Below are 15376 nucleotides of genomic sequence, written 5' to 3' on the forward strand. Positions count from 1 at the left end.
AAGGTTGCATCAGAATCACTAAAGGGATCAGTAGTTTCGATTTAACTTGTAAGGGGAGGGGAAGCCTAAAAGAGGTGTTAAAAGGTATTAAAATAAAATTCTACTTAAAAATTTTACCACAAAACTCCATATTTAAGGTCAATTCAAGCAAATGGATCTACTGATATCTAAAACTAAAATATAATCTTGGAGAAACAAAAACAAAACCAAATAAACCTCAAAAACAATGGTTCTCTTCTATAAACCAGGGCTAAAAGCTAGGGTTTGAGCTAGGAGAGGCTATTACATAACTAGGCTTGATGATAGTAATAACACAATTGACAATCAGTAGTATTAATATTGATATTAATTTATTTATGTATAATAGGTCTCTGACATAATAGAGGTAATGGAGATATTTAAATGTGAGTAAAATGGATATAATTATTATATGAACCCCAGAGTTCATACAACCCAGGCCCAGCCAGACTTAAGGAAAGGGTGCATTGAACACCATGCTCACAGGGGTAGATGGATCATCATCCAACAAGTCGCAGCATGAATAGATGACCAAAACCAGAACTTAGCCAGTTTGTAACCCAGACTCACTGGCTGAAGGGAAACTTAGATGTCCAGGAGAAAGAACTCCACGGTACCATGGCAAATACTCATAAACATGAATCTTAGAGTCCTTCTTCAAAGGAAACTGCATCCAGAGATGGCTTCATGGTCCTATAACCAGTGCAATTGGATAGGGTTCTGTGCTCAGAAAGGGAATTGGCACCTGGGCTTGCAGTTGTCTTCTAGAAATTTTTAATAGTTTTGTCCATTAATCTGCATTTTGGTAAGATGGGAGTCTGATAGAACAGTGAAGCATCTTCAAAAGATTTGAAGCTTTAACTTACACATGGTTCTAACTCTCCACTTCCCATCTCCTTGAGACAAGTTCATGACTTTTTACTCTACACTCCTCCCAGCAACTGCTGCTGCCCTGGGCTCCAGTCATGGGTGGAAAACAGGTGCTTGGGATGGGCACAGGAAGGATCAAGGGGGAGGGTCTGCACTAACCTGATAAATATCCTTGTGCTTGAACAATGGCACATGAAATAGAAAATGAAACACACATGACAGGTTGAGAGAGAGACCATGGAAGAAAGAAAAAATACTATCATATTTTTGGGCTTTTAAAATAAGTGGCCCCACATTTTCGTTTTTTCATTTTCCACCACAAGTTTTGTAGTCCTGCTTTCAGACATGTACTCAGGTGAGCTTGCATTAGGAAAACAGGAGCGTCCAAACATTTTAAAGACAACCGGACCTATGTCCAAGTTACCATTGATACCTAGCATCCTGAAATGTCATTATGATGTCATTCTTTGTGTGGAGACATATAAGGACCAGGAAATAAATGGAATCCCAGACTAGGCGCAGCACACACGGGAGCTACTGGGTCTGTGGAACTACTTGGTGGTCATTTCCCAGTCCCTGAATATGTAATTAGAATTATTCTACTTAGTGGTAGGTGCAACCTCTACTTTGTATCCTTGGCCTGTGAGGTAAGAAATACCATAATGGAGAGAGCCGAGGGGAAGCCACTGAAATATCTCTTTTTATTGTCCAAAAAAGTTAATCAAAACAATATCTCATAATCGGGGGTGTGTAAGGGAGACAGAAAATAGTGCCACCTCAAAGGGAGTAAAGGTTGCCAGGGTAAATATACTCCTTTAATTCAGTCAAGTGTTTTTGTATAAGCCGCTAGCTGTCCTTGTGCTACTCATGTAGTAAGCTGCATTTTGGAAAAATTTTTTCTGATAGTTTTTGTCATCAGACAAATGGTGCATGAGAATCCTGTCTTCATCATCTTCCCTGGCTGCATTTGCCAGGGTTTGGCACCAGTGACTCCAGTTTGAATCCTACACCTTTTACAAAGCCAAAAGCATATGGTACCTCCACCACAGCCTCACTTACAACCTGGTCAGCCACTGGTGTGGTAGAAGAAGTGGATCTCAACTCTGGACCCTGCAGGATAGGGCCCCTTCCACAGGCAACAAGAATATGTGTGCCACAGTGGGTGCAAATAGGAGCGATTTGGAAATTATCCTAAGGGTTCCATGGGTGAGGCTCATGAAGAAGACTATATTAGTTACAGAAAAATAAGCTTTATTTCCTTTACATATATAAGACGCATGTATTTGCCACTACCTGACATAAGATGTTAGAAGTTGAGAGACAGATACTAGGAGGTGGAATCCAGCCACCTAAATTCCAGAGGAGCTGAAAGAAAGCAAGGATCTGCAATTTGGTGGGTGCAGATCTAAACATACCAACAGAGATACCCTCTGCAGTTGATGAATATGAAACTGAGGATGCAATGATATTATTCAAATATACAGGTAATCTATATTAATTATTCAAAGTATACATAAAATCATATATTTTTTTTTAGAGACAGGGTCTCACTCTGTTGCCCAGGCAGGAGTGCAGTGCCATCATGACAGCTCACTGCATCCTTGAACTCTTAGGCTTGAGGGATGCTCCTACATCAGCCTCCTGAGCAGCTAGGACTATAGGTGCACACCACCACATCCAGCTAGGTTTTTAAAAAAATTTTGGTAGAGACGTGGTCTCGCCATGTTTCCCAGACTGGTCTGGAACTCCTAGCCTCAAGTGATCCTCCCTCCTTGGCCTCCCAAAGTGGTGGAATTACAGGCATGAGCCACTGTGCCTGGTCTAGAAAATAATGTTTATATCAATATATTGGCAGGTGGGATAGAACACACTGATAGTAGTTGTATAAAGGAGCTAATCCATCACCTATATAATAGAAAGTTAACAGATGATATCAAAAATTGATAACACCAAGCTGTCATATGAAGATTATATAACTATATGAATATAAGGAAAACAAAACAAAAATACCAAAAAGAAACTAATATGGTTGCTTCTTTAAGGTGTGTATCAAGGGACAGTTGATAAATCATTATCTTTATAAATCATTCTCTGCTATTTAAATGCTTACCAGTTTGCCTGCATTAAGGTGGCATAGTACCTGCCAATCACTCGTGGTATCCACCTTGCTTCATCATGCCTTTCCTGTTTCCCCAATGTATTGCTAATTCTCCTTTGAGTCTTGCTTACTACCATATGTTTTAGTGTTTTCACAGTGCTATAGAGATACTACCTGATACAGTGTAATTTATAAAGAAAAGTGTTTTAATTGACTCACAGTTCTGCCTGGCTAGATAGGGAGGCCTCAGGAAACATACAATCATAGTGGAAGGTGAAGGGAAAGTGTATTAGTCTGTTTTCACGCTGCTGATAAAGACATACCAGAGACTTGGCAATTTACAAAAGAAGGAGGTTTAATGGACTTACAGTTCCACCTGGCTAGGGAGGCCTCACAATCATGGTGGAAGACAAGGAGGAGCAAGTCACATCTTACATGGATGGCAGCAGGCAAAGAGAGAGGTCGTGCAGGGAAACTCCCATTTTTAAAACCATCAAATCTCCTGAGACTTATTTACACCACAAGAACAGCATTTCAAAGACCCACCTCCATGATTCAAATATCTCCCACCAGGTCCCTCCCACAATGTGTGGGAATTATGGGAGCTACAAACTGAGATTTGGGTGAGGACACAGAGCCAAACCTTATCAGGAAGCAATGCACATCTTGCATGGTGGCAGTTGGAAGACAGAGAGAGTGCAGAGGAACCTGAAACCATCAGATTTCTTTAGAACACCATGGGGTAAACCACCTCAGTCATCCAATCACCTCCCACCAAGTCTCTCCCTCAACACATAGGGATTACAATTCAGATTACAATTCAAGATGAGATTTGGATGGGGACCCAAATCCAAACCATATCATCATATAATATCACTATTATCCAGTATTGCAGCCTCTTTCTAACTTGTCTCCCTATATATACTGTCCTCCTTTATGACTTCTCTGAATATCAAATTTCCTCATTGAAGCTTGTGTAATTTTTCCAAAAAAAATTTTTCTGAGTCAATGTGCTTCCTTGGTTTCCTGCCTCCAGAGCTTCTTCCTCCCTTTACAATAAGGTCCAAATGTATAACATGTGGTCCACATTCTATTTCCTCCCCATCTTTCCACCTTAGCTTTTACCAGCCTTCCAGCTGATTTCTCCTATCAGATTGAACCACTTTTGATTCTTAAAGTGTGTCATTTAACTTGATCATTTATGACTTTACATTTCCCATTCCTCAGCTTGGAACATGTTCCCCCATTCCCTCCCTCTCCAATTTCCTATGCCCTCAATTTAAAAGTTACCTGAATCTAGGACCTTTCTTCCTCTGCAAGACTAGGTTAGAGGCCCCCTGCAGTGTGCCGTTGAGCATCCTGTGGTTTCTGGTGAGTAACCTGTTACATCCCCATTAAATACATAGCTTGCTTTTTCACTTTCTGATGGTAAGGGTCCTTAGGACAAAATCAACTCTGTCCACTGTATTTCTATTATATATTACATGTATTCTTATGTACATATTATGCATATGTTCATATATGTATGCACACATATGTTCATATAGATTTATTTTGCATATGTTCTGGCACTTAAAGGAAACAATCATTAAAGTTATATTTTGATTTAAGTAGTTACATAGGGCCAGTTTAATTCTTGCAGGAAAACTTGAAGTCAGAAGCAGAATTGCAATAAACATAAAAGGACTACATTTTAGAGAATTACAATGCATTCCAAAGCTGTTTTATAATTTCTAAGTTAAAATATATTAGTCACCGAAAATATGGTATGCTGCGCAAATTTTTGATAATCAAGAATATCATGGTTTAATACTTAAGTTCTTCTAGTGGAAAAGTATCCATATAGAAAAGTCTATTACCCCCTGCCCCACACTCAGCTATTGAGGCATAATTGCCAACTAAAACTTGTATATATTGAAGGCATACAATATAATGTTCTGATGTATGCATACATTGTGAAATGATTACTACAATCAAACCAATTAACATACTATTTTTTTTAGCAAATTTCAAGTATGCAATACAGTATTATTTGCTATAGTTACCATGCTGTACATTAGATCTCCAGAACTTACTCATCTTGCCTAATTGAAACTCTGTACTCTTTTACCAACATCTCTCCTACCTCCCTAGTCTCTGGATTCCACATATAACAGATCACGCAGTACGTCTTACTGTGCCTGGCTTATTTCACTCAGTATGACATCCTCCAGGTTCATCCATGTTGTTGCAAATGACAGGATTTCCTTCTTTTTTAGGGCTGAATAATATTCTGTTGTGTATATGTGCCACTTTTTCTTTACCCATGTATTGATTATAGGGTGATTCCATATCTTGGCTATTGGGAATAATGCTGCAATGATATAAGAGTGCAGATATCTCTTCAAGATCCTGATTTTATTTTCTTGGGACATATATCCAGCAGTAATATTGCTGGATAATATGAGAGTTCCATTTTTACTTTATTGAAGAATCTACATACTGTTTTCCATAATGACTCTACCAACATACATTCCCACCAACAGCGTATGAGAGTTTCTGTTTCTACACATCTTTGCCAGCACTTATTTTTTGTGTTTCTAATGATAGCCATTCTAACAGGTATGAGGTGTTATCGCATTGTGGTTTTGATTGTGTGTCTCTAGTAATGCGTCATGTTGAGCATTTTTTTCATCTACCTTTTGGCCATTTTATATGCCTTCTTTTTGTGCTTATTTGCAAATCAGGCTATTTGTCTTCTTGTTATTAAGTTGTTTGAATTTCTTATATATTTTTGATGTTAAGCTCCCATCTGATGTATACCTTGCAAGTATTTTGTACCACTCTGTAGTTGATTTCTTTTTCTGTGCAGAACCTTTTTAGTTTCATGCAGTCTCATTTGTCTGTATTTGCTTTAGTTGCCTGTGTTTTGGGAGTTATATTCAAAAAAATAATAGGCCAGACCAATGTCAAGAAGCTTTTTCCCTATGTTTTCTTCTAGAGAAACCTATTTTCTAAGTACAGTAAAAATATTTTCATAATATTATTCTAGATATAAATTATCCATAATGACATCAGTGATTAAAAACTACATACTTTAATAATGTTCTTAAAAATATAAAACAGTTTTATCCTCCTGGGAGAGGCAACTGTCAGATAAAATCACATTTAGTTTTCTCAGTTTACTAAAAATGAAAAAAAATAAAGAAACATCAGCAAAATTGGCTTATGCTCACTCACACCAGGTGTCCTCCATTATTTAAATAGAATATTTACCGAATGCAGTGCTTTTTCTCCACCAGAACTGCCCCATCTCACAGGCAACAAGCAACCACAGAGCTTTTATTTACTTTGATTCTATTATGTGGCTCATCTCAATTTGTATGAAAAGCCTTAGAGAAATATATGGGCATCAACACTAATGTTAGTTATTATAACCTTCACTTCTCTTTAGTGTGGCAAAACAGTGTATATTTATTTTCCTTTTGTTGCATTGCATACATAAATATTATTAGACATATCACAAGGACAGGATTTATTTTTTGTCTGTTCTTCAAGTTGGTTTGTAATCTCTTGTGTCAAATTGAGTTCTGTGGTCTTTTCTTGTCTGTTCTGGCCCATATTGGCTCCCTAAAATTGGAACATATGCCACAAGAGTCTTCACTATAAGTCCCTTTTAGCAGAAATCTTAGTCTGTCCTCCTTTTTGCTTTTAATTATTATTATTTTTTAATAGCAAGTTGGCAAGATTTTTTAAAATTGAAATTTATGTTTTTGGGCATACAATTTCCTTGGTGATTCTGCTGAGCTCTGATGCAGCCTCAGAGATCTGAGATAAGATGTGTAAAGCAAAATGATTTCTAATACATGTATTTGAAAGTGCATTTTTTACAGCTAAAGCAAAATTGAATTTTGAGCAGTCAATTCAATTTCAAGAAGGATTAAACAAATGGTATGTAGATCATTTATGAATTTATTGAGCGCTTATTATGTTCCCAGTACTTTGCTAACAGTGACTTTTGATAGAATTTAAGCAAGGTTAATGGTCATTCTGTAAGTGTCAGAATGCCATAGTGAATATGATGATCTGAATTTTTGGAATTGGCCAATAAAAAATTTCTAGAATAGAAGGTAATTGGACTCTACTTCAATCTGCATTATCTAGAGATGGCTTCAGGGATTTAAACATTAAAAACCCAGTTCTTCAGAAAAAAACCTCACAAATTAAAATAGTTACTCTGAAAAAGCTCTGTGATAATACATTGTAGGGTTTTAAAATGTCCTGCACACTCTGAGAATCAAAAAATTTGGGGATGCTACAATCATCATACTGTACAGACATTTCAGGAAACATAATGAAAGAATATATGAGAGGCGATTATAGAACATGGAAACCTGACGGATTAAAATCAGAAAAACTTCACTTTGAACCTTGGCTCATTCACTTAGGTTGTACAGCCTTGACTAATGACAGGTTAAAGGATGCCGAGCCTTAGTATCACCTTATATTAAATTGGGACACTATCACCTAACTCCCAAAGCTCTTTGGAGTATAACTTCAATGACAATTTTAAGCTCCTGTCAAGCTCTTGTTTAATAATAAGTTGTTCAATAAACATTAGCTCTCTTTGCCAAGATTCACTAGTTGCATTTTTCTGGAAATTCATACAAATAAATTCTAGTGATTCAGTGGCTTTCTTGGAAATTGATTTTTATTTTTGTGTATTTTTTCTAGTGACTTCCTAAGGCTGCTTCCTGCTGGAATGATGTATTGCTCTGGGCATTCTCATGTGTTTCATTCAGGAATCCATATGCTGGGTGTAAAATAACTGTAAACTCTTTCCCAGCCCAGCTGGGCTGGGTTCCCACTCTCTCTAGACACTCAGCTTGCAATGATCTGGTTGGTACTTACTGTGAGTATCCAATCAGATCTAACTCTAGAATTTAAAAAATGCAGTTTGACACTTAGCATCAGTTTATTTAATTATTAAGATTTTATTTTCCATGTGTTTCACAAAGTACTTTATACAGATAATATAGTTATATTTTCTAAATCCCTTAGATGTACCATGTGTGTCATCTATCTCCTTTTTATCTGTTTCTTATGGACATTTAAGAAGGCAGAAAGAGTGAATGTACTTGAGTAAAGAAAAGTTAATATGTTAATCTACTTAATGTCCTAATTTTCCTATGAGCAGTCTGTAATAACAAACTTACCATTTAATTAAATTTCATTGTTCATTAAATCACCTTTTCATTATATAAATACTTTAATATTTATTAAATGCTTAATAAATATCAATATCCAAGAAGCAAGCTCAAATGGGGTTGACTGTAAGGGAAATTTTTATCAGACATGTCATTTAGATATCATGCCAGTTTCCCTAGAAGGTCTTGAACACTTTTTGTAATTTTTTTTTTCTGTTTAAGATGAGTTTTTGATAAGCATAAGGAAATACATATACAAAATGTTTGCATGCATGTATACCTGTACGCATGTGTGTATATGCATATGTACACATATGTACACATGTGTGCATGTACACACATATGTATACATATATACATACATACATAATTTTTATAGGCACGTCATTCCTTCTTCCTTGTTTTAGCATAGCCATTCCAATGTCCCATTGAAGGTCTGTTCATTGCATATCCTATTTCACACCAGAGGACTAATAATGACAGAGGGTAAGTATGTGACCAAGTTCAGGCCAAACGGACTCTCTTTTCAGGATTTATGTGCATATATTTGTTTGTATGTATGTATGTTTGTATATATGTATGTATTGAACCTGACTTTCATGTAGCTTCATGCATTAGAAATTTATCTACGTGTGGGGATGTATCAGTATCTCATTTCTTATTGCTATTTAGCATTCCTTTGTATGGGTCTTCCAGCTTGTCTATTCAGCAGCTAAAGGCAGCTTCCATTTTTTTAATTATGAATATTGCTGCTATAAATATTTGTGTACATATTTTTTGTTGGAATCTACATTTTCATGTTCTCAGGTGAGTAGACAAAAAGATTGATTAAATGATAAATGTATAATTAACTTTAAAAGAAATGGTCAAGCTATTTTACCAAGAGTCTAAAGTTTTGCATTTCCACCAACAGTGTATGAGAATTCTAGTCACTCTGCATCCTCACCAGTACTTGTAACAGGTGTTTTTTGTTGTTTTGACATTTTAATAAGAGAATATTTGCATCTTATTGTGAGTTTAATGTGCATTTCCTTAATGTCTCATGATGTAGAGGGTGTTTTCATATGCTCATTTGTGCTACATATATCATCTTTGGTCTATTAAAATGTATTGTCTGCTTTGTTATTGGGCTTTTTATGCATTCTTATTATTAAGTTTTAAGACATATTTAAGATATAAAAATCTATGATATATGTGTTTTGGAAATATTTTCTCCCACTGTATGACACGTTTTTTCATTTTCTTATGCGTCTTTAAAAGGGCATTTTTTTCATGTTTAAGTTAAAATAAAGCTCAGTGTATTAGGTTTTCTCTTATGGATCATGGTTTTGGTGTCATATCAAGGAAATCTTTCAAAGAGATTATGTATAATTTTAATGTTTTCTTCCAGAAGCTTTAGAATTTGTGTTTTTATTTTATCCCACAATCCAGCTTTGAGATAACTTTTTATATGATGTAAAGTATTTTATTTTGAATAGCATAATTTTTTAAATTTTAAGTTCTAATTGTTGCTAGTACATTGAAAACATTTGACTTTGCATATTAATTAATTATGCAATCTTATTTAACTCATTTATTATTTCTAGTATATTTTTTGTAGATTCCATATGATTTTCTACATAGACGATGATATCAACAGCAAATACTTTTATTTCTTTTTTTCCAATCTGGATGTCTTTCTTTTGTTGCATAAGCTTGAGGATGTTTTCTTCAATTTCTTTTACTGAAATTTTTAAAGAATTGTAAATGGATATGGAGATTCGTCAAATGCTTTTCTCTGCTTCTATTGAAATTATCATGTATATTTTCTTCATTAGTCTGTTGATGTTGTAATTTACATTGATTGATTTCCAAAATATTATAACAGTCTGAGTCCTGGGATACAAGCTACTTGGTCATGAATACTATTTTTTTGTATATATGACTGGATTATTCTTGCTAACATAGTGTTGAGTATTTTGGATCTGTATTCATTAAAGATGTTGGTCTGTAGTTTCCTTCACCTGTAACTTTCTTTTTCTGGTTTAGGCATCAGAACTGTTCTGACCCTAAAATTATTTGGTAAGTGTTTCCTCTTTTAAATGTTTCTGATAGATATTGTGTAGTAGTCATGCAATTCCTTCTTTAATATTTGGTAGAACTGGTTAATGAACTCTCTTGGCTGAAAACTTTCTTTCTTGAAAAGATTCTAGCTACAAGCCAATTCAAAAATATGTATTTGCATAAATAAATATATATGTATATGTATATAAGGATATTCAGACTATTAAATGATCTTTGTTATTTGTTGTTATTCAAGGAATTTATTGACTAAATTTATGTTGCCAAATTTATAGACCTAATAAGGTTGTTTATAGTATTACATTTTTATAGCTTTAATGTCTGTAGGATCTGATGTGATTCCCTCTACACCATATATTATACTGACAATTTATGTGTTCAGTTTTTACTTTTTCAATCTTACTAGATGTATATGGATTTGTTTAATATTTTTGAAGGCCGAATTTTAGTTTTACTGATTTTTCTGTAATATTTTTCCTTAATGTCATTGTTTTCTTCAATTATCTTCATTGTTTTCATCTGTCAATTTGGTAGGAGCTTAGTATGTTTTCTTTTCTTGAATTCGTTAAGGGATACATTTATAACATTGATATAAGAACTTTCTTATTTTCTAAGAAAAGCATGGTATTGCGATAAAATTTCCTCTAAACACTGATTTTCCTGGATTGAACAAAATTTGCCTATATTTTATATTTATTTAAATTTTTTTAAATTTTTATTTGTAGGTTTCTATCTTATCCATAATTATTTAGAAATGTGTTCTTTGATTTCAAATATTTGGTACTTTTACAGATATATTTTTCTTGTTGATTTCTATTTTAATTTTTTATCAGTCAATATACTTTATATTAGTTTAGTTCTTGAAGTTGGTTGATATTGTTTTCTGATTCAAAATGTGGTAGATCTTGATGAATGCTCCACGTATACTCGAAAAGAATGCATATTCTGCTGTTGTTGAGTGGAATATTCTATTAAAATCACTTAGGTCCTGTTTACTGATAGTATTTTTTAGATTTTCAAAATCTTTACTAATTGTATGTTTACTTATTCTATCGATTAGAGAAGAGAGTTAAAATTTTCAAATATAAATGTGCATTTTCTACTTCTTTTTATGTATATATGTTTTGCTTCATGTTTTTGTATTTCTGTTTTAGTTGCATACAATTGTCATGTCTTCTTGTTTATTTTCCCAATTATCATTACATATAGTCCTTTTATACCTTTGGTAAATTTTTTTGTTCTGGTATGTATTTCTTTGATACCAACATAGCAACTCCACTTGATGAATTAAATTGAATATTGTAAACACTAGGGTAACTACTAAAATGTTTTGGAAAGTAAATAAATAATGTCAGTAGTAGACATAAAACAAAATTATAAAAAGTACTTAATTCAACAGCAGATCAAAAAAGAAAAAATAAATAACAGAATATAGCAAAAACAATGATCAATTCTGTAGATTTCAAGTCAATCATATCAATAATTATATGATGTAGAACTGGTATAAGCATAACAATTAAAGAACTGAAATTGTAAGGCTGGGTAAAATAATTCAGGTCCACAAACTGTGCCTAGAATAAACAATTTATTTTAAATATAAAAAATGCAATAGATTAAAGTAACAAGAGGGAAAGAGTAACAAGATATAAAAATAGTCATGTATACAGCAATCAAATTTAAGCTGAATTTGTTATTTCCATTTTACTCTTAGAGTTTCTAACTTTCTGCTGAAGTTTCTTATTTGTTTATAACTTTTTCATGAGAGATGTTATCATAGTAATCATAGTTAATTTGAATTTTCTACCTACTAATTCCAACATATATGGCTCTCTTAGTCTCATTCTGTTGAAGATATTGTCTCCTGATAGCGTATTGTGGGGTTTTTTCCTTGCTTTTTTGTATCTTGAATGTTTCCATTCATTGTCAGATATAGTATTTAGAAAGCAGAAACTGCACAGTACTTATGCCTGGAAATGGACCAACTCTTTCTGCTAGGTTATTGACTTGCGAATTGAGGTAATTTAGACAGGAGTTTAGTTGGTTTGAAGAGAATCATATACCAAGAAATTATGGATACATGGGTGAGTGGTTTTCCCTTCAATTTTTCACAGAGACCTTAGGCTGTCCAGGTGTGCCTTTACTATGAATAGATCTTTTCTCTACCCTTCTGTCCTTCTCTCAGCAGTAGTCCTCTCTTTCTTACGTTTTGATGTTTGCTAAAGTGGGTGGTAGGTATGACGGTGGGTTCTTAGTTGTCCTGTTTCAGTCCTGTTTCAATCTTAGGGACCTGTGTTGCTATGCTGCATGAGTGGTCATTTCTCTGTGACTCAGCTCCTCTCCCAACAGACAGTGATTTCTCATGGTCTGGGCACAGGATGCATTTCTTCCTTTCTACAGTGCCGGGTTTCTTTTCTTCGACATATATTGCAGCTACAATGGGTCTTCACCATGTTCTAGGGATGCTGAGATGTACTACCTTTTCCTCAGGGATTTCGGGGTTTTGTTTTGTAGGGTCTTTAGTGCATTTCATTTCTTTCTACACTGGTGGTTCTTCTTCTCTCTAGCCTGCCTCACCAAGGAGATACTGTCCAATCTTCTCCGCACCACCATTCTTTCTTATGAGCACCCAGTAGACGTTCATGAAAAAGAGCCTGTAAGAGAGTGAAATTTCCCTTTGATCTGCCACACCTGAAGTTTCTCTCCTCTCTCTCATTAGCCTACACTTAACATTTAGCACTTTGTTAAAAAGTTTAATTTATCTTACCTGCTTTCAGAGAGGTGCTATTTTTCTTCTGATGCCACAGGTGAGCCAGTATTTGTATTCCATCACTCCTGGGAGAGATCCATGTTACCTTAGTTTTCAGGTTACGTGGTTACTGTGACATCAGCTCTCTGATGGTTTCAAGAAAAATTAATATTTTACTTTAGTATTTTGTAAGTGTTCTTTAATATCATTTTGCATTTTGGTGTTTATAGGTTTATATCTTCACTTTTAGGTATAACCTTTAGTTTACATTATAAAGTAAAAGCAAATATTTGAATGATGTTTCCTAATCAGACTGTGTTTTCTAGAGCATAGTTAATTAAACCGGATTAATTTCATCAATTTTTAATGTAGAATTATTAAACTATTTTGAGATTTTAAAGTTTCTTTTACATTTTATTGATATAATCTGTATTATTTTTATCTGAATCCTAGAAGATATTTGATTCATTTGCATTTTCAAATTTGTACCCTTGTGAGTTTTATTGTAGACAAGTTTTTACAAAATTTTCCAGGTGAAAACTTTTAAATGTAGATTTTTGACAAGAATATTAAGTTCTTCATTAGATTTCCAAGCAATAATAATATTATATTGCACTCCAAATTAAGTATGATCAATATTATTCTATGTTGATTAATTCTAGTGTAAGTTTTCTGGGATAATTTTGTAAATTTTAATTGGAACAAATCGGTGCAGATCTATTTATGTTTACATCTCTAGCATATTTTAGTGTGTGCATTTTAGCCACTATAGTTTATTTTATCTATTCAGTCATATTTATTATGTATCCATTACTGTCTTATGTTTTAATTGTTGGAGCAAAGAGCAAAAAACATAAAAAGGGCAAAAGCTTTCAATATGCACATATTGCAAGGTCAAAATATACTGTTTTAGGAGGAATATATGGAAATATCATTTCATGATATAGAAAGGGCACGAATAAAGTCTAATAAAGGGCAAGGATTTTTTGAAATCCTTGACGAATAAAGTCTAATTTTTGAAATCCTTGACGAATAAAGTCTAATTATTAGACGAATAAAGTCTAATAAAGGGAAAGGATTGTGAAGATAATAACAAGACAAAGAGGGGAAAGGTAGAGAGAACAACATAAGAAAAATAATAAATTCATACTAGGGAAATAGGAGAAAAGCTTTATTGGAGACAGATTATTAAATATTTCAAAGGGTCCTGTAGATCTTGAGAACAATAATGGCAAAATGTGCTATGTTTAGGAAAAGGCTGTGCTGGCATCTCAGCAAACCTTTCTCTTCATTCAAGAAATCTGAGTAGAGGTTTGCAAGCAGTATTTTTGGAGTACAAAATTTCCTTGTAAATATATTCCTCCTACAAAATGTAAATGAGTAAAAGAAAGTGTTTGCTGTGCATCTTGCATAGAAGCTATATATTTCTGAGTAAATGTTTATTGGTAGTAGTTCTGTGTCCAAAACTACTAAATGAATAATTAATATGTAATCTTTAAACATGTCTTTGAGGGATTAGTATCGTTTGTGTGTAGAAAACAAAGTAAATCTCTTATTCAGAGACACAAAATTTAGTGAAGGTGAGAGCAAGGATTTTATTTCAGGTTGACCAATATAATTAGTTGTGTGCGTGTGAATTTAGTTCAGAGAATTACTAAACAATAATTTAGTCAGATAATAAAATTTACCATCTCCTGTTATATTTTTTAGAGCTTCAGTGTATTTTTTAATGACCAGCAAACCTTTCAGATATATGTACTCTGATTGCGTTATAGGTACCAAAATCACCCCCTGTAGTCACTGCCAATAGGATCCTGGCTTAACCAGGAAATGATGAAAAGCAGTCACCCTCATAGAATCTTTGTGCATCTAATTGTCTCATTGATTTCTAGCTTCAGAAGAAAAGACTCAGCTCTATGTCGAGCCAAGCTCCAAGAAAAAAATAATTCTCAAGGATTTGTGGATGAACTTTATTCATTACTGATTTTTCCCATAAATTGCCCCCAAATCTTTACCCCTCTTCATCATGTTGCTCTTATTAACAACTCTTAATAAAGAATAGAACAAGTTATTAGAAAAATAACTAGGAGTAAAATAATCTGATGTTTATTTGGCATGTGGGAGTTGTATCTTCCTTAAAAATTCAATTCATTCTTTCATTCCTTCATTTGAAAATATTTATTGAACACCAGAAACTACTCTAGGCACTGGGGATATTGCAGTGAATAAAACTGACCAAATCTCAGGATTCATGAATTCTACTTGCTTGAGACAGAATATAAACAAAATATATAGTATATTATTGCTAATAAATGCAATTGTGAAAAATGAAGCAGAAAACGAGGATGGGTGTGTGTGTGTGTTATGAGGGGCCAATTTTAAATATGGTCATCATTG

At 33.9% G+C, this 15376-nt stretch overlaps 1 long non-coding RNA gene across 1 annotated transcript; it reads left to right on the top strand.

The window, feature by feature from the left end:
* Positions 1-1397: 1397 nt before the first annotated feature.
* LOC105374549 (uncharacterized) lies at positions 1398-14986 on the top strand. Its single transcript, XR_925519.3, has 4 exons — positions 1398-1517; positions 2162-2372; positions 10201-10233; positions 14872-14986. It is a non-coding gene; the product is annotated as an uncharacterized LOC105374549 (long non-coding RNA).
* The last annotated feature ends 390 nt before the right edge of the window (positions 14987-15376 follow it).

Source organism: Homo sapiens, chromosome 4, assembly GCF_000001405.40.
Source record: "Homo sapiens chromosome 4, GRCh38.p14 Primary Assembly".
Lineage (NCBI taxonomy): Eukaryota > Metazoa > Chordata > Mammalia > Primates > Hominidae > Homo > Homo sapiens.